The sequence below is a fragment of the Homo sapiens genome, chromosome 3, assembly GCF_000001405.40.
Source record: "Homo sapiens chromosome 3, GRCh38.p14 Primary Assembly".
Lineage (NCBI taxonomy): Eukaryota > Metazoa > Chordata > Mammalia > Primates > Hominidae > Homo > Homo sapiens.
In genome coordinates this window covers 136,216,464-136,239,690 of record NC_000003.12, presented here as the reverse complement: position 1 = coordinate 136,239,690, position 23,227 = coordinate 136,216,464, and the positions used below count along the sequence as shown (strand labels likewise).

Genomic DNA, 23,227 nt, shown 5'->3' with positions numbered 1-23,227 from the left:
AAAAAAAAAAAAGTAATAAAGATCATTACTTTTTATTAGGATATGGTTCTTCCCATCCAACTCGCTCAAAATTTCAACCCTATGATTGATGTAAGTGTGATCCTGAGTGAATGAGAGAAAGAGGGAAGGTTGGGAAGAAGCATTCTTAGACTGCAGTGCAGTCTAAGGAAAGTCAGCAAGAGAACTAAATGAAGCGGTGCCACCACTGTACCTTCTGCAGTTACCCTTAGTTTGTTGTTTTGGAAAGACAGACAGAAGCAGGGGAGGGAAGGAAAAGAAAAAGTGAAAAGAAAAACAATATTGTTTGAAGGCTTAGAAAACAGCTGCAACAACAGAACTTTCCTTATAACCCCTTTTGTATGTAAGAAAGGATTAAGTAAATATTGATGCATTCCTCACTTCCAGAACAATTTATAGGCTAGAAAGGGCGCTGGAGAGGATTGCCCTCATTATGAGCTAGTGAAGGGTTTCTGGTAGGATGGAAAGCATGCTTTGGTGCTGTAAAACTGGATTCCAAATGATACTAACAAGCAGTGTAACTAGGCAAATCAGTTCATCTCTTTCAGCTACAGTTTTTTCACTTATAAAATCATGATAATAATATTGACCCTATAGAATAGTTGGAGGGATTAAATTAAGTGAGAAAACATATGTAGAGTACACGGTATGCAATAGATGTTTAATAAGTAAAAATCCCGGCAGGGCGCAGTGGCTCACGCCTGTAATCCTAGCACTTTGGGAGGCCAAGGCGGGTGGATTGCCTGAGCTCAGGAGTTCGAGACCAGCCTGGGCAATATGGTGAAACCCTATCTCTACTAAAATAAAAATAAAAATAAAAATAAAAAACTAGCTGGGAGTGGTGGCATATGCCTGTAGTCCCAGCTACTCGGGAGGCTGAGGCAGGAGAATTGCTTGAACCCGGGAGGCGGAGGTTGCAGTGGGCTGAGATGGTGCCACTGCACTCCAGCCTGGCAACAGAACAAGACTCCGTCTCAAAAAAAAAAAAAAAAAAGTGATAATCCCACTCTAGTTTGGAAAGAGAATCCAGAATAGATGGGAAAGACAATGTACATGAGAACTGATCCTGGATACCTAAAGAAGAAAATGAATTATTGGAAGGAAGGAATTATCAAGGGGGATAGAAAAGAGTCAAAAAGCAAGATAATCTAGAAGCAGAAAAACACAGCTAAGCTCATGCCACAAGAACAGTGGACATTGACCTAGATACCACTATTGACAGACCTTGCTGTGACTGCTTCTGGATTTGCAAGGCCACTGTGAATAGTTTTCATACTATTGCGTATCTTTGCATAGTGGGCTCCCCCACTTATAATATTGAGTGGGAACATCAAATTGGCAGAGACTGAGTAACATGCTCACACCCCAGCATGAGAAAGATCTTAGAAAAGGACAAATGATCTCTATATTGCTTAAAATAATGCTAGCAACTGTAACAAACCCCAAGGTTTAAGTTACTTAACATAATAGAAGCTTGTTGTTTACCCTGACATTCTAGTGTAGCTATTCTTCCACACGGTGGGCAGCTTTCCCCCTTGCGGTGATTTAAGGACCCAGGCTTCTTCTGTCTTGTGGGTTCATCATCCCTAGATTTGTCTGTATTCAACTGGAGAATGGGGAAGAAGACAAGTGGAAGGGAAGCCCTGTTTATTAAAGACCCCACCTCCACCTGGACGCAAGGGCAAGGATGACAATGTACTCCCTGGCTGGCCAGCCACTTTCCAGTAGCAACTCCACACAGCAGAAGAAGGATTACAAATTTTTAGTTGACAGTTATCTATGTATGCCACACCCTCTACTGGGCCAATGTATATGGGAAAAAGTATGAAGTGGGGCAAGGTACTGAGGATTAAAGGACCCTGGGAAAGTGGAGAACGGTTTTGAGTAGTTGATTTGGGGAATGGGAAAAGAGATAGTACACTGGGAAGTTTAAGTGGAAAATATCAATTCTGGGCCACAGGATTGTCTAAACAGCACAGCGTTTGTGACGACTTCTTTCCTAGGATGGTTGAACTAAGCTCCTTTTATGTATAGCACTGCGTGACATGTAGGGGTTGGCCAGGATGATATAATGGTGACTATCTCCAGGAGCCTTCTAAACAAATGGGAAAGATGTATACATAGAAAGATAAATTTTATTTTCTAGGTAGCATTTGGGAAGTGTCAAGTAAGTGGTCGGGGGAAGTGCTCTAAGAGTTCAAAGTAGGAGTTTATCACTGACATGTTGGGGCTTAGAGTAGGTGCTTAGTCCAGGTCTGCCAAGAAGCTGATGCCAAGACAGGATCACATGTGGAAGAAATTTATTAGGGAAATGCCTGTGAGAAAAAATGGTGAGGGAGCCAGGGAAGTCTGGGAGAGCCTTGGACTATGTAAATAGTGTAAAGTAAATCTGACCCTGAGTGAGAGAGAGAGAGGGAAAGATGGAAGGCAGGCTGAATGGAGGCCTCTTAGACTGCAGAGCAGACCAAGGAAAGTTGAGCATCAGGAAGTCTTTGAGCAAAGTCACCTACCAGATGAGCCCCATCTCCCAGGAATGGACCTGCCACACAGTCATCAGCTGGGAGCAGTCTTCAAGAAGCATGGCCTCACAGTACATTCAGCCACAGATTGCGGAGGGTCCCAGCTGGGGCTCTTGGTCAATTAGACTCCTTGCATTCAAAGACCTGAGGGTGAATTCTTTTTATTTTTTTTTTTTTTTGAGACAGAGTCTCATTCTGTCGCCCAGGCTGGACTGCAGTGGCGTGATCTCGGCTCACTGCAAGATCCGCCCGCCAGGTTCACACCATTCTCCTGCCACAGCCTCCTGAGTAGCTGGGACTACAGGCGCCCGCCACCACACCTGGCTAATTTTTTGTATTTTTAGTAGAGACGGGGTTTCACCGTGTTAGCCAGGATGGTCTCGATCTCCTGGCCTTGTGATGCACCTGCCTCAGCCTCCCAAAGTGCTGGGATTACAGGCGTGAGCCACCACGCCTGGCCGAGAGGTGAATTCTTATGGCCACCACAGTCTACCATTTGCACCACACAGATCTACTTTTTCCCTCAGGTTTGGGGAGCAGCTAGCTCCTTTACGGTTTCTGTAGACCTTTCTTCCTGAGAGTTATAACTCAAAAAGCATCTGAAACAAGTCTTGATCTATTTAGAGGTTTATTTTGCCAAGGATTCACCAAGGAAAAAGAGACACAAGTCACAAGAGACAAGGAAAAAGAGACACAGGTCTGTGGCCTGTGCTTTTTCCAAAGAGTGTTTTGAAGGGCTTCAATATTTAAAGGGGAAAGAACGGCAGGAGGGGAAGGATAAGAAAAAAAAAGGGAGTGTAGGTAGTGAGGTAAGGGGTCACATTCTTGTGAGGCTCACCAAATCCACATTTTACATGTGAAAAGAGAAGGCTGAAGGGAAAAGTCCATTATGCAGGGCTCAGTAGATCTACATTTGACATAAGATAAAGTAAGTCTGTGAAGTTACATCTCTCTAGGAACAAAAGGAAGGTAGTTTTTGCATGACTCAGTTCCCAAGCTTTTCCCTTTGGCATAGTGAATTTGGCGTCCAAAGATTTTATTTTCCTTTCACAGGGGAAACTCAGACAAGGGAAGGTAGTGGAAAGAACTGCAACCTCTGTCGCTGCAATCGATCTCATTCTCTCCTTCCTGCACTATCCATCCTCCAATCCCCTCAACTTGGCAGATCTTGGTGACTTACCTAGTGATGGGACTCAAACTTTCATTCTGGAAGTATCTGAACCAGAAAGATATCTATACCTTTCTCAAGCCTGTGTTACTTCATATTCAGTTTACAACAGAGCAAGAGAGTACCAGGAGGCACTTAAGTGGGTCACCTAGCTTCCACATGTATTCTTCTTTGTCCCTGTTGTGTAAAAGCAGCCCTCTACCAAGCAGGGTCAATGACTCCTGCCAGAATGGTGATTCCTGTTTTTGCCCACTGCTTACTAGACACAAGGAGTCCAAAGTGCCCTGGCAGCAGCTGTAGATTGTGGTTCAATAGGACCTTTTTTCTTTTTTTTTTTCTTTTCTTTTTTTTTTTTTTTTTTTTTGAGACACTCTGTCACCCAGGCTGGAGTGCAGTGGTGCAATCACAGCTCGCCACAGCCTCAACCTCCTGGGTTCAAGTGGTCCTCCACCTCAGCCTCCAAAGTTGCTGGGACTACAGGCACATACCACCACACCTGGCTAATTTTTGCTTTTTTGTTTTTTTGTTTTTTTTTGAGACAGAGTCTTACTCTGTCGCCCAGGCTGGAGTGCAGTGGCACGATCACAGCTCACTGCAACCTCCACCTCCCAAGTTCAAGCGATTCTCCTGCCTCAGCATCCTTAGTAGCTGGGACTGCAGGTGCACGCCACCATGCCTGGCTAATTTTTGTATTTTTAGTAGAGATGGGTTTCACCATGTTGGTCAGGCTGGTTTCAAACTCCTGATCTCGTAATCCACCCACCTCAGCCTTCCAAAGTGCTGGGATTACAGGCATGAGGCACCACGCATGGCCAATTTTTGTATTTTTTGTAGAGACAGGGTTTCGCCATGTTGCCCAGGCTGGTGTCAAACTCCTGACCTCAAGCCATCGGCCCACCTCAGCCTTCCAAAGTGCTGGGACTATAGGCGTGAGCCACCATGCATGGCCTCAATGGGACTTTTGATGTATCCTTGGTAAGAGTATACCCTATTTGGGGACCAGGACCTCTAACCCTGCAGGATCAAGAGTTGTGGGGACAAGAAGCACCTAATCATGTCCTTGTCCCCGGTGGGACATTGAGTGTAAGTGGGGTCACCCCTGCTTCTATCCTTTGCTTTCCAGACCCATGTATTCTTCCTACTGAGGACATAGCACCATAGAGAGGGCTCTGATTTAATACATACACTGTGTCCTGAAGGATGGCACCCCATCCATCCAGACTGCTGCCTCCCTACTGATACTTCAGCACTGTTAGAAGGCAATTCCAGACCTGCTTTGACTGAGCATTCTCATGTCTCAGCAGCTCTGCTACTCTAACAATTAGGTATTCAGCCTGCCGCTCAGCACTGCGTACCCTTCCTGTGCCAGAGATAAGGGTCTCTTTATAGGCTATCCCAAAGGCCCTATGGCTTTCTCACTTAACTAAAAACTGCTTGTTAACTGCCCTTAGTCTCATTATTTCTCAACAGGCCATCAATACAACTTAGTAGTAACCACCCAACTTTACTCTCTCTGTAGAAATTGTCCCCCCTGTCTCCCTTGTTTTCGAATAACTACATCATCACATCTGCCAGGGCATTACCCTCCACTGAAACGTTTTCCCAGGTAAACACTAGTGAAGTTTTGGCAGTTGAGCTACCACCTTATGGCAGGGACTGTCCGTACTCCACCTACTAACTAGCATGGCATCCTTTTTGCTGCTGGGCAGTGGATGAGCCAATCCAAATTCCCATCCTACCACCTATTTTCTTGGACCACTCCTGGTACTACTTATGTTAGTCTAGGACCCTGAGGATTAACTGCGTAAGAAATTTATTAGAGGAAATGCCTGTAAGATAAAATGGGGGGAGGTGGCCAGGCGTGGTGGTTCATGCCTGTAATCCCAGCACTTTGGGAGGCCGAGGCAGGTGGATCACCTGAGGTCAGGAGTTCAAGACCAGCCTGGCCAACATGGTGAAACCCCATCTCTACTAAAAAATGCAAAAATTAGCCGGGTGTGGTGGCGGGCACCTGTAATCCCAGCTACTCAGGAGGCTGCAGCAGGGAGAATCGCTTGAACCTGGGAGGTGGAGGTTGCAGTGAGCCCAGATTGCGCCACTGCACTCCAGCCTGGGTGACGGAGCAAGACTCTGTCGCAGAAAAAAAAAAAAAAGATAAAATGGAGGGGCAAATAGGCAAATAGGGGAGGCGGGGAAAGCCATCAGACTGCAATACAAGTCTGACCCAGAGTGAAGGAAAAAAGATTGGATTGAAGAATTTTATACCCCATTGCATTTCTAAGGGAAGTTTGACAAGGCAGTTTGGGATTTCTCAAGTCAGTTGCCTGTCAGAGGAACCTGGCATCTCTCTGGAATGGGTGCCTTAGCATGTCTGCCATGTGCAGTCATTGGCTGGAAGCATCCTGTGGGAAGCAGAGCCTTGGTGCAAACACAGTGATCAATTTCAGAAGCCAGTAGCTGGGGCTGTCATTCAGTAATGTTCTCTATAATTAGAGATCTGAGAGGTGCATTCTCAAGGCCACCACAGAAATCTTCATGGATGAGGCATGGAGGAAGTGAAAGAGGGACAGGACCTAGAAAATCAGTAGAATTTAGACAAGTGGTGATGGACAGAAAATATATCCAATGATGATATGTAGGCAGAGTGTAATATGTGTTCTAGGTAAAATAAACAGGGCACCTTATCTGAAGGGCACCTTATTAAAGGGCTTACTTTAGAGGTGATATGGGAAAAAATGTTAGAAAAGTAGGTAAAGATAGAATTGTTGTGGGACTTGAATGCCAGTATGAGAAATTTAGACTCTATCCTGTAGGCATTGGGAAGCCATGGACATATCAAGTCTACATTTTACCTAATCTCTCAGTGGCATTGAATACTATTGACTACTCTTTCCTTTTCTATTTTTATTTTTATTTTTAGAGACAGGGTCTTGCTGTGTTGCCCAGGCTGGAGTGTAGTGGCATGATCATGGCCTACTGCAGCCTCGACCTCCCAGGCTCAAGTGATCCTCCCACTTCAGCCTCCCAAGTATCTGGGACCACAGGTTTGTGCCACCATGCCCGCTAATTGTTTTTTTTTTTTTTTTTTTTTTTTGGTAGAGACAGGGTCTCGCCATGTTGCCCAGGCTAGTCTCAAACTTATGGGCTCAAGCAATCCTGCCACCTTGGCCTCCCAAAGTGCTGGGATTATAGATGTGAGCCCCCACGCCTGGCTTCTTTTTCAGTTCCTCCTTCATAAAACATTATTTTGGCTTTTTTGACATAACACACTCCAACTTTTCACACTCCAGCTTTTCCTCCTATGTCTTTGGCTACTCATTCTTAGTCTCCTTTGTTCAGTTCCTCATGACTTGAAAGTGGATGACCTGCCCAGGGGAGAATATAAACAAAGAAGAACAAAAATAAATAATGAACTAATTAATCCATCCAGGCAAATATTTCATGATTATGTCACTCACAAACCTAAATCCCTTTTTAAAACTTTCCTTGAGACAACTTCTCCCTCTGTCCCCCAGGCTGGAGTACAGTGGCATGAACATGGCTCACTGCAGTCTCGACCTACTGGGTTTAAGGGATCTTCCTGCCTCAACCTCTGGAGTAGCTAGGACCACAGGCGTGCAACACCATGCCCAGCTAATTTCTCTGATTTTCAAATAGAAACTCTTCAGTGACTTCTCAATGTTCATATGACAATGACAAAGATTTTTTTTTTTTGAGATGGAGTCTCGCTCTGTCTCTCAGGCTGGACTGCAGCGGCGCAATCTCAGCTCACTGCAACCTCCACCACCCGGGTTCAAGCAATCCTCCCATCTCAGCCTTGTGAGTAGCTGGGACTACAGGTGCAAGCCACCATGTCCGGCTAATCTTTGTATTTTTAGTAGAGATGGGGTTTCACTATATTGGTCATGCAGGTCTCAAACTCCTGACTTCAGGTAATCCACCCACCTCAGCCTCCCAAAGTGCTGGGATTATAGGCCTGAGCCACCACGCCCAGCTAAGATTCTTAACATAGCCTATAAGAGCCTACATGGCCTAGACCCTACCTATATCTATAATTCATCCAGTATTATCCCTCAGTCTCTCTGCTCCAGCCACACTGGTCTTCTGTCTCCTGTCAACTCCTGAAATGCACGTTCTCTACTTCTGCAGGGTCTTTGCCTTCATTGGGTGGAAGGTTCATCTCTCAGTAATGTCTGCTCTTCAAAATGTCTACTCATCCTTCATATCTCAGCCTTACACTTTCATAGAGAAGCCGTCCCTGATTTCTTCAACTAAATCAAACCTTTCTATGTGTCCTAGCACCATGCTCCTTTTATTAGTAACAGTTATCAAAATTGTAATTTTATATTTATTTGTGTGAATATTTGATGGTCAATCTTGTCATTCTCTTCAGTTAGACTGTAAGGTACATGATGGCAAGGACTCCAAGATAAGTATTATCTTCATTTTTCTTGTGTCACGTTGCATCTCTAGCTTCTAGCACTTAGGGCAGTGACTGAAACATACTTACCATGGTAGCTGAAATAACTACTGCATGAATGAATGAATGAACTGTAGCTCTTGAGCAGAGGATAGTGGTGAAGTCTGTGCAAAGTGATTCTTAGTTTAACAAGTCAATACTGAGTAAGATGAATTAAAGGTCTGGTAGATATATTAGGAGATCTGCTTTAAAAGTCTACTGCAGCATTTAGTCTAGGGAAAAAACAAAACAAAACAAAAAGCCTACTGTAGGTCTGAAGTGAAGAAGGTATATTAGGAAAAAAACTAAGTTGCTGTATAAAAGAACTGCTAAATACAATGGCCTGGCCAGGCATGATGGCTCACACCTGTAATCCCAGCATTTTGGGAGGCAAAGGCAGGCAGATCACTTGAGGCCAGGAGTTCAAGACCAGTCTGACCAACATGGCAAAACACCATATCTACTAAAAATACAAAAATTAGCTGGGCATGGTGGCACACACCTGTAATCCCAGCTACTTGGGAGGCTGAGGCACAAGAATCACTTGAACCCAGGTGGCAGAGGTTGGAGTGAGGCAAGATCACACCACTGCTCTCCAGCCTGGGTGACAGAAAAAGACTCTGTCTCAAAAAAAAAATAATAAAAATACGTAAATACAGTGGTCTAAATAAAACAGTAGTTTATTTCCTCCCACGGACATCATCAAAGTTTAAGTGCAACAGTATTCACTGTACTGTTTTTTGTTTTTTGTTTTTTGTTTTTTGGGGTTTTTTTTGGAAACGAACTTTTGCTCTTGTTGCCCAGGCTGGAGTGCAATGGTGCGATCTTGGCTCACTGCAACCTCCGCCTCCTGGATTTAAGTGATTCTCCTGCCTCAGCCTCCCAAGTAGCTGGGATTACAGGCATGCACCACCATGCCCAACTAATTTTTTTGTATTATTAGTAGAGACAGGGTTTCTCCATGTTGGTCAGGGTGGTCTTGAACTCCCAACCTCAGGTGATAAGCCTGCCTTGACCTCCTAAAGTGCTGGGATTACAGGCATGAGCCACCGCTCCCGGCTTCACTGTAGTGGTTTTTTTTTCTTTTTCTTTTATTATTATTATACTTTAAGTTTTAGGGTACATGTGCACAATGTGCAGGTTAGTTACATATGTATACATATGCCATGCTGGTGTGCTGCACCCATTAACTCGTCATTTAGCATTAGGTATATCTCCTAATGCTATCCCTCCCCGCTCCCCCCACCCCACAACAGTCCCCAAAGTATGATGTTCCCCTTCCTGTGTCCATGTGTTCTCATTGTTCAGTTCCCACCTATGAGTGAGAACATGCGGTGTTTGGTTTTTTGTCCTTGCGATAGTTTAATGAGAATGATGATTTCCAATTTCATCCATGTCCCTACAAAGGACATGAACTCATCATTTTTTATGGCTGCATAGTATTCCATGGTGTATATGTGCCACATTTTCTTAATCCAGTCTATCATTGTTGGATATTTGGGTTGGTTCCAAGCCTTTGCTATTGTGAATAGTGCCGCAATAAACATACGTGTGCATGTGTCTTTATAGCAGCATGATTTATAGTCCTTTGGGTATATACCCAGTAATGGGATGGCTGGGTCAAATGGTATTTCCAGTTCTACATCCCTGAGGAATCGCCACACTGACTTCCACAATGGTTGAACTAGTTTACATTCCCACCAGCAGTGTAAAAGTGTTCCTATTTCTCCACATCCTCTCCAGCACCTGTTGTTTCCTGACTTTTTAATGATTGCCATGCTAACTGGTGTGAGATGGTCTCTCATTGTGGTTTTGATTTGCATTTCTCTGATGGCCAGTGATGGTGAGCATTTTTTCATGTGTTTTTTGGCTGCATAAATGTCTTCTTTTGAGAAGTGTCTGTTCATGTCCTTTGCCCACTTTTTGATGGGGTTGTTTTTTTTTTTTTGTAAATTTGTTTGAGTTCTTTGTAAATTCTGGATATTAGCCCTTTATCAGATGAGTAGGTTGTGAAAATTTTCTCCCATTTTGTGGGTTGCCTGTTCACTCTGATGGTAGTTTCTTTTGCTGTGCAGAAGCTCTTTAGTTTAATTAGATCCCATTTGTCAATTTTGGCTTTTGTTGCCATTGCTTTTGGTGTTTTAGACATGAAGTCCTTGCCCATGCCTATGTCCTGAATGGTAATGCCTAGGTTTTCTTCTAGGGTTTTTATGGTTTTAGGTCTAACATTTAAGTCTTTAATCCATCTTGAATTAATTTTTGTATAAGGTGTAAGGAAGGGATCCAGTTTCAGCTTTCTACATATGGCTAGCCAGTTTTCCCAGCACCATTTATTAAATAGGGAACCCTTTCCCCATTGCTTTTCTCAGGTTTGTCAAAGATCAGATAGTTGTAGATATGCGGCGTTATTTCTGAGGGCTCTGTTCTGTTCCATTGATCTATATCTCTGTTTTGGTACCAGTACCATGCTGTTTTGGTTACTGTAGCCTTGTAGTATAGTTTGAAGTCAGGTAGCATGATGCCTCCAGCTTTGTTCTTTTGGCTTAGGATTGACTTGGTGATGCGGGCTCTTTTTTGGTTCCATATGAACTTTAAGGTAGTTTTTTCCAATTCTGTGAAGAAAGTCATTGGTAGCTTGATGGGGATGGCATTGAATCTATAAATTACCTTGGGCAGTATGGCCATTTTCACGATATTGATTCTTCCTATCCATGAGCATGGAATGTTCTTCCATTTGTTTGTGTCGTCTTTTATTTCATTGAGCAGTGGTTTGTAGTTCTCCTTGAAGAGGTCCTTCACATCCCTTGTAGGTTGGATTCCTAGGTATTTTATTCTCTTTGAAGCAATTGTGAATGGGAGTTCACTCATGATTTGGCTCTCTGTTTGTCTGTTACTGGTGTATAAGAATGCTTGTGATTTTTCCACATTGATTTTGTATCCTGAGACTTTGCTGAAGTTGCTTATCAGCTTAAGAAGATTTTGGGCTGAGACAATGGGGTTTTCTAGATATACAATCATGTCGTCTGCAAACAGGGAAAATTTGACTTCCTCTTTTCCTAATTGAATACCCTTTATTTCCTTCTCCTGCCTGATTGCCCTGGCCAGAACTTCCAACACTATGTTGAATAGGAGTGGTGAGAGAGGACATCCCTGTCTTGTGCCAGTTTTCAAAGGGAATGCTTCCAGTTTTTGCCCATTCAGTATGATATTGGCTGTGGGTTTGTAATAAATAGCTCTTATTATTTTGAGATACGTCCCATCAATACCTAATGTATTGAGAGTTTTTAGCATGAAGCGTTGTTGAATTTTGTCAAAGGCCTTTTCTGCATGTATTGAGATAATCATGTCGTTTTTGTCTTTGGTTCTGTTCATATGCTGGATTACATTTATTGATTTGTGTATATTGAACCAGCCTTGCCTCCCAGGGATGAAGCCAACTTGATCATGGTGGCTAAGCTTTTTGATGTGCTGCTGGATTCGGTTTGCCAGTATTTTATTGAGGATATTTGCGTGAATGTTCATCAGGGATATTGGTCTAAAATTCTCTTTTTTTGTTATGTCTCTGCCAGGGACATAACAGGGAGAGTTAGGGAGGATTCCCTCTTTTTCTGTTGATTGGAATAGTTTCAGAAGGAATGGTACCAGTTCCTCCTTGTACCTCTGGTAGAATTTGGCTGTGAATCCATCTGGTCCTGGACTCTTTTTGGTTGGTAAGCTATTGATTATTGCCACAATTTCAGAGCCTGTTATTGGTCTATTCAGAGACCAATTCAAGACTATTCAACTTCTTCCTGGTTTAGTGTTGGGAGGGTGTATGTGTCGAGGAATTTATCCATTTCTTCTAGATTTTCTAGTTTATTTGCATAGAGGTGTTTGTAGTATTCTCTGATGGTAGTTTGTATTTCTGTGGGATCAGTGGTGATATCTCCTTTATCATTTTTTATTGTGTCTATTTGATTCTTCTCTCTTTTCTTCTTTATTAGTCTTGCTAGCGGTCTATCAATTTTGTTGATCTTTTCAAAAAACCAGCTCCTGGATTCATTAATTTTTTGAAGGGTTTTTTGTGTCTCTATTTCCTTCAGTTCTGCTCTGATTTTAGTTATTTCTTGCCTTCTGCTAGCTTTTGAATGTGTTTGCTCTTGCTTTTCTAGTTCTTTTAATTGTGATGTTAGGGTGTCAATTTTGGATCTTTCCTGCTTTCTCTTGTGGGCATTTAGTGCTATAAATTTCCCTCTACACACTGCTTTGAATGTGTCCCAGAGATTCTGGTATGTTGTGTCTTTGTTCTCGTTGGTTTCAAAGAACATCTTTATTTCTGCCTTCATTTTGTTATGTACCCGGTAGTCATTCAGGAGCAGGTTGTTCAGTTTCCATGTAGTTGAGCGGTTTTGAGTGAGTTTCTTAATCCTGAGTTCTAGTTTGATTGCACTGTGGTCTGAGAGACAGTTTGTTATAATTTCTATTCTTTTACATTTGCTGAGGATTGCTTTACTTCCAACTATGTGGTCAATTTTGGAATAGGTGCGACGTGGTGCTGAAAAAAATGTATATTCTGTTGATTTGGGGTGGAGAGTTCTGTAGATGTCTATTAGGTCCGCTTGGTGCAGAGCTGAGTTCAATTCCTGGGTATCCTTGTTGACTTTCTGTCTCATTGATCTGTCTAATATTGAGAGTGGGGTGTTAAAGTCTCCCATTATTATTGTGTGGGAGTCTAAGTCTCTTTGTAGGTCACTCAGGACTTGCTTTATGAATCTGGGTGCTCCTGTATTGAGTGAATATATATTTAGGATAGTTAGCTCTTCTTGTTGAATTGATCCCTTTACCATTATGTAATGGCCTTCTTTGTCTCTTTTGATCTTTGTTGGTTTAAAGTCTGTTTTATCAGAGACTAGGATTGCAACCCCTGCCTTTTTTTGCTTTCCGTTTGCTTGGTAGATCTTCCTCCATCCTTTTATTTTGAGCTTATGTGTGTCTTTGCACGTGAGATGGGTTTCCTGAATACAGCACACTGATGGGTCTTGACTCTTTATCCAATTTGCCAGTCTGTGTCTTTTAATTGGAGCATTTAGTCCATTTCCATTTAAAGTTAATATTGTTATGTGTGAATTTGATCCTGTCATTATGATGTTAGCTGGTTATTTTGCTCATTAGTTGATACAGTTTCTTCCCAGCCTTGATGGTCTTTACAATTTGGCATGATTTTGCAGTGGCTGGTACTGGTTGTTCCTTTCCATGTTTAGTGCTTCCTTCAGGAGCTCTTTTAGGGCAGGCCTGGTGGTGACAAAATCTCTCAGCATTTGCTTGTCTGTAAAGTATTTTATTTCTCCTTCACTTATGAAGCTTAGTTTGGCTGGATATGAAATTCTGGGTTGAAAATTCTTGTCTTTAAGAATGTTGAATATTGGCCCCCACTCTCTTCTGGCTTGTAGAGTTTCTGCCGAGAGATCGGCTCTTAGTCTGATGGGCTTCCCTTTGTGGGTAACCCGACCTTTCTCTCTGGCTGCCCTTAACATTTTTTCCTTCATTTCAACTTTGTTGAATCTGACAATTATGTGTCTTGGGTTGCTATTCTCGAGGAGTATCTTTGTGGTGTTCTCTGTATTTCCTGAATCTGAATGTTGGCCTGCCTTGCTAGATTGGGGAAGTTCTCCTGGATAATATCCTGAAGAGTGTTTTCCAACTTGGTTCCATTCTCCCCGTCACTTTCAGGTACACCAATCAGACGTAGATTTGGTCTTTTCCAATAGTCCCATATTTCTTGGAGACTTTGTTTGTTTCTTTTTATTCTTTTTTCTCTAAACTTCCCTTCTCGCTTCATTTCATTCATTTCATCTTCCATCTCTGATATCCTTTCTTCCAGTTGATCGCATCGGCTCCTGAGGCTTCTGCATTCTTCACGTAGTTCTGGAGCCTTGGCTTTCAGCTCCATCAGCTCCTTTAAGCACTTCTCTGTATTGGTTATTCTAGCTATACATGCGTCTAAATTTTTTTCAAAGTTTTTAACTTCTTTGCCTTTGGTTTGAATTTCCTCCTGTAGCTCAGAGTAGTTTGATCGTCTGAAGCCTTCTTCTCTCAACTCGTCAAAGTCATTCTCTATCCAGCTTTGTTCTGTTGCTGGTGAGGAACTGCGTTCCTTTGGAGGAGAGGCGCTCTGCTTTTTAGAGTTTCCAGTTTTTCTGCTCTGTTTTTTCCCCATCTTTGTGGTTTTATCTACTTTTGGTCTTTGATGATGGTGATGTACAGATGGGTTTTTGGTGTGGATGTCCTGTCTGTTTGTTAGTTTTCCTTCTAACAGACAGGACTCTCAGCTGCAGGTCTGTTGGAGTTTGCTAGAGGTCCACTCCAGACCCTGTTTGCCTGGGTATCAGCAGCGGTGTCTGCAGAAAAGCGGATTTTCGTGAACTGCGAATGCTGCTGTCTGATCATTCCTCTGAAAGTTTTGTCTCAGAGGAGTACCTGGCCGTGTGAGGTGTCAGTCTGCCCCTACTGGGGGGTGCCTCCCAGTTAGGCTGCTCGGGGGTCAGGGGTTAGGGACCCACTTGAGGAGGCAGTCTGCCCTTTCTCAGATCTCCAGCTGCATGCTGGGATAACCACTGCTCTCTTCAAAGCTGTCAGATAGGGACATTTAAGTCTGCAGAGGTTACTGCTGTCTTTTTGTTTGTCTGTGCCCTGCCCCCAGAGGTGGAGCCTACAGAGGCAGACAGCCCTCCTTGAGCTGTGGTGGGCTCCACCCAATTCGAGCTTCCCGGCTGCTTTGTTTACCTAAGCAAGCCTGGGCAATGGTGGGCACCCCTCCCCCAGCCTCGCTGCTGCCTTGCAGTTTGATCTCAGACTGCTGTGCTAGCAATCAGCGAGACTCCGTGGGCGTAGGACCCTCCGAGCCAGGTGCGGGATATAATCTCCTGGTGCACCGTTTTTTAAGCCCGTCAGAAAAGCACAGTATTAGGGTGGGAGTGACCCGATTTTCCAGGTGCCGTCTGTCACCCCTTTCTTTGACTCGGAAAGGGAACTCCCTGACCCCTTGTGCTTCCTGAGTGAGGCAATGCCTCGCCCTGCTTCAGCTCGTGCACGGTGTGCTGCATCCACTGTCTTGCGCCCACTGTCTGGCACTCCCTAGTGAGATGAACCCAGTACCTCAGATGGAAATGCAGAAATCACCCGTCTTCTGCGTCACTCACGCTGGGAGCTGTAGACTGGAGCTGTTCCTATTCAGCCATCTAAAGTGTGGAAAGTAATAGCCTCAATGTCCAACAATAGCAGTGTAGTTAAGTAGATTGTTATACTGCTATTCAATGGAATAGCATCAGCTGTTAAAAAGTCATATGGTAGGCTGGGTGCAGTGGCTCACGCCTGTAATCCCAGCACTTTGGGAGGCCAAGGCAGGCAGACCACGAGGTCAGGAGATTGAGACCATCCTGGCTAACACAGTGAAACCCCGTCTCTACTAAAAATACAAAAAAATTAGCCAGGCGTGGTGGGGGGCGCCTGTAGTCCCAGCTACTTGGGAGGTTGAGGCAGGAGAATGGCGTGAGCCTGGGAGGCGGAGCCTGTAGTGAGCTGAGATAGCGCCACTGCACCCCAGCCTGGGCGACAGGGTGAGACTCCGTCTCAAAAAAAAAAAAAAAATCTTGTGGTAGAACAGTGGTTCTCAAACTGCTGTGTACATCAGAATTACATAGAGGGCTTGTTAAAGCACAATTTGCTGGGCTCACTCCCACAGTTTCTGATTCAGTGGGTCTGGGTGATGTCCAGAAATTTGCATTTACAAGCTCCTAGGTGATGCTGATGCTGCTGGGACTACAATTTGAGAACTGTCAGGCCTCTGAGCCCAAGTTAAGCCATCATATCCCCTGTGATCTGCACGTATAAATCCAGATGGCCTGAAGCAACTGAAGATCCACAAAAGAAGTGAAAATAGCCTTAACTGATTACATTCCACCATTGTGATTTTTTTCTGCTCCACCCTAACTGATCGATGTACTTTGTAATCTCCCCCACCCTTAAGAAGGTTGTAACTCTCCCCACCCTTAAGAATGTACTTTGTGAGATCCACCCCCTGCCTGCAAAACATTGCTCCTAACTCCACTGCCTATCCCAAAACCTGTAAGAACTAATGATAATCCCACTACCCTTTGCTGATTCCTTTTTCGGACTCACTCCGCCTGCACCCAGGTGAAATAAACAGCCTTGTTGCTCACACAAAGCCTGTTGGTGGACTCCCTTCACACGGACACATGTGACATTTGGTGCTGAAGACCCAGGACAAGAGGACTCCTTCGGGAGACCAGTCCCCTGTCCTCACCCTCACTCCATGAAGAGATCCACCTATGACCTCAGGTCCTCAGACCAACCAGCCCAAGGAACATCTCACCAATTTCAAATCAGGTAAGCAGTGTTTTCACTCTCTTCTCCAGCCTCTGTTGCTACCCTTCAATCTCCCTGTCCTTCCAATTCCAGTTATTTTTCCTCCCTAGTAGAGACAAAGGAGACACATTTTATCTGCAGACCCAAAACTCCGGCACTGGTCACAGACTTGGGAAGACAGTCTTCCCTTGGTGTTTCATCACTGTGGGGATGCCTGCCTGATTATTCGCCCACATTCCATTGGTGTCTGATCACCGCAGGGATGCCTGCCTTGGTCATTCATCCACATTCCCTTGGTGGCAAGTCAATTGCGGGGACACCTGCTTTGGCTGCTCACCCACATTGCAGCCCAGGGCTGCTCCCCTTCTCCATGTCTCTACCCTTCCCTTTAAACTTGCCTCCTTCACTATGGGTAACCTTCCACCCTCCATTCCTCCTTCTTCTCCCTTAGCCTGTATTCTCAAGAACTTAAAACCTCTTCAACTCTCACCTGACCTAAAATCTAAGCATCTTATTTTCTTCTGCAACACCGCTTGGCCCCAATACAAACTCGACAATGGTTCTAAATGGCCAGAAAATGGCACTTTTGGTTTCTCCATCCTACGAGACCTAGATAATTTTTGTTGAAAAATGGGCAAATGGTCTGAAGTGCCATACATCCCAGCATTTTTTACACTTCATTCCCTCCCTAGTCCCTGTTCCCAATGCAACTCATCCCAAATCCTCCTTCTTTCCCTCCCACCTGTCCCTTCAGTCCCAACCCCAAGCGTCGCTGAGTCTTGTGAATCTTCCTTTTCTACTGACCCATCTGACCTCTCACCTCCTCCCCAGACTGTTTCTCCTCAGGTCGCTCCCCACCAGGCTGAATCAGGCTCCAACTCTTCTTCAGCCTCTGCTCCCCCCACCCCCCATAACCCTTCTATTACCTCCCCTCCCCACACCTGGTCTGGTTTATGGTTTCATTCTGCAACTAGCTCTCCCCCACCTGCCCAACAATTTCCTCTTAGAGAGGTGGCTGGAGCTGAAGGCATAGTCAGGGTACACGTGCCTTTTTCTCTATCAGACCTTTCCCAAATCAGCCAGCATTTAGGCTATTTCTCATCAGACCCCATTAAATATACACAGGAATTCCGATATCTAACTCTGTCCTACAATTTAACGTGGAGTGACTTAAATGTCATCCTAACTTCTACCCTCTCCCCAGATTAACAGGAAAGAGTTTTTTCTCTAGCCCAAACTCATGCCGATAACCTCTGGCTTCATGAGCCAGACCTCCAGGAAGGCATTAGAGCAGTTCCCCGAGAAGATCCCCAATGGAACTATCAGGCAGATTCCTCAGGTATAGCTAGGGGAGATTACATGGTTTCCTGCCTAGTTGAAGGGCTTAAAAAGGCAGCTTACAAAGCTGTTAATTAGACAAACTTAAAGAAACTACCCAAGGTAAAGATGAAAACCCAGCCCAGTTCATGGCCCGCTTAGCAGCAACACTTAGACGCTTTACTGCCTTAGACCCAGAGAGGTGAGAAGGCTGCCTTATTCTTAATACACATTTTATCACCCAGTCAGCTCCTGACATCAGAAAAAAGGTTCAAAAATTGGAATCCAACCCTCAAACCCCACAACAGGAATTAATCAACCTCACCTTCAAGGTGTACAATAATAGAGAGGAGGTAGCCAGACAGCAATGCATTTCTGAGTTACAGCTACTTACCTCCACTGTAAGACAACCCACTGTAAGACAACCCACATCTCCAGCATACAAGAACTTCAGAACATCAAAGCCACAGCTCCCAGGGGCTCCTTCAAAACATCATCCTGGACCTTGCTTCAAATGCCAAAAGCCTGGCCACTGGGCCTCAGAATGCCCGCAGCCCAGGATTCCTCCTAAGCCATGCCCTGTCTGTGTGGGTCCCCACTGGAGGTTGGACTGTCCGACTCACATCGCCACTGCTCCTAAAGCCCCTGGAGCCCAAACCCAATGTTCCTTGGCTGACTCCTTCCCAGATCTCCTTGGCTTAGCAGCTGAAAACTGATGCTGCCCGATCACCTCGGAAGCCCCCTGGACCATCACGGATGCCAAGCTTCGGGTAACTCTTATGGTGGAGGGTAAGTCCATCCCCTTCTTAATCAGTATGGAGGCTACCCACTCCACATTACCTTCTTTTCAAGGGCCTGTTTCCCTTGCCTCCATAACCACTGTGGGTATTGATGGCCAGGCTGCTAAGCCTCTTAAAACTCCCCAACTCTGGTGCCAACTTGGACAATATTCTTTTTTTTTTTTTGAGACGGAGTCTCCCACTGTCACCCAGGCTGGAGTGCAGTGGCACAATCTTGGCTCACTGCAAGCTCCACCTCCCAGGTTCACACCATTCTCCTGCCTCAGCTTCCCAAGCAGCTGGGACTACAGGCAGCTGCCACCGCACTCGGCTAATTTTTTGTATTTTTAGTAGAGATGGGGTTTCACCATGTTAGCCAGAATAGTCTTGATCTCCTGACCTCGTGATCTGCCTGCCTCAGCCTCCCAAAGTGCTGGGATTACAGGTGTGAGCCACCGAGCCCGGCTGAACAACATTCTTTAGTGTACTCCTTTTTAGTTATCCCTACCTGCCCAGCTCCCTTATTAGGTTGAGACATTTTGACTAAATTATCTGCTTTCCTGACTATTCCTGGGCTACAGCCACACCTCATTGCCGCCTTTTCTCCCAGTTCAAAGCCTCCTTCACATCCACTCCTTGTATCTCCCCACCTTAATCCACAAGTATAGGACACCTCTACTCCCTCCTTGGCGATGGAGGATGCACCCCTTACCATCCCATTAAAATTTAATCACCCTTACCCTGCTCAACGCTGATATCCCATCCCACAGCACGCTTTAAAAGGATTAAAGCCTGTTATCACTTGCCTGTTACAGCATGGCCTTTTAAAGCCTATAAACTCTCCTTACGATTCCCCCATACCTGTCCAAAAACCGGACAAGTCTTACAGGTTAGTTCAGGATCTGTGCCTTATCAACCAAATTGTCTTGCCTATCCATCCCATGGTGCCAAACCCATATACTCTCCTATCCTCAATACCTCCCTCCACAACACATTCTGTTCTAGATAAACCTAGCTGACCCCATAAATCCTAAATCCTTTCCCCACTCCCCTTTCCATTCCTTAAAAAACAGCCCTAAAAGCTGCTCCCACACTAACTCTCCCTAACTCATCCCAGACCTTTTCATTACACACAGCCGAAGTACAGGGCTGTGCGGTCAGAATTCTTACATAAGAGCCGGGACTGCGCCCTGTAGCCTTTCTGTCCAAACAACTTGACCTTACTGTTTTAGCTTAGCCCTCATGTCTGCGTGCGGCAGCTGCCACTGCTTTAATATTTTTAGAGGCCCTCAAAATCACAAACTATGCTCAACTCACTCTCTACAGTTCTCATAACTTCCAAAAATCTGTTTTCTTTCCTGACACATACTTTCTGCTCCCCAGCTCCTTCAGCTGTACTCACTCTTTGTTGAGTCTCCCACAGTTACCATTGTTCCTGGCCCGGACTTCAATCCAGCCTCCCACATTATTCCTGATACCACACCTGACCCACATTACTGTATCTCTCTGATCCACCTGACATTCACTCCATTTCTCCATATTTCCTTCTTTCCTGTTCCTCACCCTGATCACACCTGGTTTATTGATGGCAGTTCCACCAGGCCTATTTGCCACACACCAGCAAAGGCAGGCTATGCTATAGTATCTTCCACATTTATCATTGAGGCTGCCGCTCTGCCCCCCTCCACTACCTCTCAGCAAGCCAAACTCATTGCCTTAACTCGAGCCCTCACTCTTGCAAAGGAATTACACATCAATATTTATACTAACTCTAAATATGCCTTCCATATCCTGCACCACCATGCTGTTATATGGGCTGAAAGAGGTTTCCTCACTATGCGAGGGTCCTCCATCATTAATGCCTCTTTAATAAAAACTCAACGCTGCTTTACTTCCAAAGGAAGCTGGAGTCACATACTGCAAGGGCCACCAAAAGGCATCAGATCCCATCGCTCAGGGCAATGCTTATGCTGATAAGATACCTAAAGAAGCAGCTAGCATTCCAACTTCTGTACCTCATGGCCAGTTTTTCTCCTTCTCATCGGTCACTCCCACCTACTTTCCCACTGAAACTTCCACGTTTCAGTCTCTTCCCATACAAGACAAATGGTTCTTGGACCAAGGAAAGTATCTCCTTCTAGCCTCACAGGCCCATTCTATTCTGTCATCATTTCATAACCTCTTCCATGTAGGTTACAAGCCACTAGCCCACCTCTTAGAACCTCTCATTTCCTTTCCATCGTGGAAATCTATCCTTAAGGAAATCACTTCTCAGTGTTCCATCTGCTATTCTACTACTCCTCAGGTATTGTTCAGGCCCCCTCCCTTCCTACACATCAAGCTTGGGGATTTGCCCCCCGCCCAGGACTGGCAAATTGACTTTACTCACATGTCCCAAGTCAGGAAACTAAAATACCTCTCGGTCTGGGTACATACTTTCACTGGATGGGTAGAGGCCTTTCCCACAGCATCTGAAAAGGCCGACACGGTCATTGCTTCCCTTCTGTCAGACGTAATTCTTCAGTTTGGCCTTCCCACCGCTATACGGTCCAATAATGGACTGGCCTTTACTAGTCAAATCACCCAAGCAGTTTCTCAGGCTCTTGGTATTCAGTGAAACCTTCACACCTCTTACCGTCTTCAATCTTCAGGAAAGGTAGAATGGACTAATGGTCTTTTAAAAACACACCTCACCAAGCTCAGCCTCCAACTTAAAAAAGAAAAAGGACTCTGTCAAGAATAGAGCCCAAAAACTCACCAACCAAACAAGTAATTACACTGAACCCCCTTGGACATTTTCTAATTGGATGTCCTGGGTCCTCCCAATTCTTAGTACTTTAATACCTGTTTTTCTCCTTCTCTTATTCAGACCTTGTGTCTTTTGTTTAATTTCTCAATTCATACAAAACCACATCCAGGCCATCACCAATAATTCTATATGACAAATGCTCCTTCTAACAACCCCACAATATCACCCCTTACCCCAAAATCTTTCTTCAGTTGAATCTCTCCCACTGAAGGTTCCCATGCTGCCCCAATCCTGCTCAAAGCAGCTCTGAGAAACATCGCCCATTATCTCTCCATACCACCCCCAAAATTTTTCGCCACTCCAACACTTCACGACTATTTTGTTTTGCTTTTCTTTAAATATAAGAAGACAGGAATGTCAGGCCTCAGAGCCCAAGCTAAGCCATCATATCCCCTGTGACCTGCACGTATACATCCAGATGGCCTGAAGCAACTGAAGATCCACAATAGAAGTGAAAATAGCCTTAACTGATGACATTCCACCACTGTGATTTGTTTCTGCCCCACCCTAACTGATCAATGTACTTTGTAATCTCCCCCACCCTTAAGAAGGTTATTTGTAATCTCCCCCACCCTTAAGAAGGTTGCTTGTAACTCTCCCCACCCTTGAGAATGTACTTTGTGAGATCCACCCCCTGCCCACAAAACATTGCTCCTAACTCCACCACCTATCCCAAAACCTATAAGAACTAATGATAATCCCACCATCCTTTGCTGACTCTCTTTTCACACTCAGCCCACCTGCACCCAGGTGAAATAAACAGCCTTCTTGCTCACACAAAGCCTGTTTGGTAGTTTCTTCACATGGATGCGCGTGACACTATCGTTGTAGAAGAAAATTTAATGACATGGGAAAATGTTTATGGCATGTTGCCAAGTGAAAAAAAAAAAGCTCCAAAATAGAATTATATTCATGATCTCATTTTGATAGAAAAAAACCCATATATTTCTGTACACATAAATCAAAGTCTGTAAAGACCACAAATTACAGTCGTCTCTCAGTATATGCAGGGGGTTGCTTCCAGAACACCCGAGCATACCAAAATCCCCGCAAGCTCAAGTTCTGCATTTGGTCACGTGGAACTGCATGTACAAAAATCTTCCCTCCTCTGTATATGCAGGTTTTCCATCCCGGCAACACTGTATTTTCTTTTTTTTTTTTTCTGAGACAGAGTCTCACTCTGTCGCCCAGGCTGGAATGCAGTGGCCCGATCTCAGCTCACTGCAAGCTCTGGCCCCTGGGTTCACGCCATTCTCCTGCCTCAGCCTCCCTAGCAGCTGGGACTACAGGTGCCCACCACCATGCCTGCCTAATTTTTTGTATTTTTGGTAGAGATGAGGTTTCACCGTGTTAGCCAGGATGGTCTCAATCTCCTGACCTCGTGATCCACCCGCCTCGGCCTCCCAAAGTGCTGGGATTACAGGCGTGAGCCACCACGCCCGGCCAGAACACTGTATTTTCAATCTTCATTTGATTAGCAAAAATCCATGTGTAACCTCACAGTTCAAACCCATGTTGTTCAAGGGTCAACTGTATTAACAGGTAGATTTATAGGTGGTCTTTTTGTTTGTGTTTGTAAGTTATTTACAATGAACATTTGTAATAAAGTGATTTGTTGTTCTTTTTAAGAAAGAATTGACAAGACATTGAGGAGGAATGGTCAAAGAGTAACTCTAAGGTTATAAACTTGACAGAAAGGGAGATGATGACATAATGATAGAATAGAGTATAGGAAAGCGAGATCTGAATATTGGAGAAAAGATGATGAGTTTGGCTTTAGATGTATAAATTTTA

At 44.5% G+C, this 23,227-nt stretch overlaps 1 annotated feature.

Annotated features, from left to right (window-relative positions):
• Window positions 15,085-15,631: an enhancer, noted in NCBI's record as "H3K27ac-H3K4me1 hESC enhancer chr3:135942902-135943448 (GRCh37/hg19 assembly coordinates)". NCBI's record gives its function as "activates a minimal SCP1, AML or CMV promoter by ChIP-STARR-seq in naive and primed H9 embryonic stem cells {active_cell/tissue: H9 hESC(naive and primed)}" and the evidence as "EXISTENCE:reporter gene assay evidence [ECO:0000049][PMID:30033119]".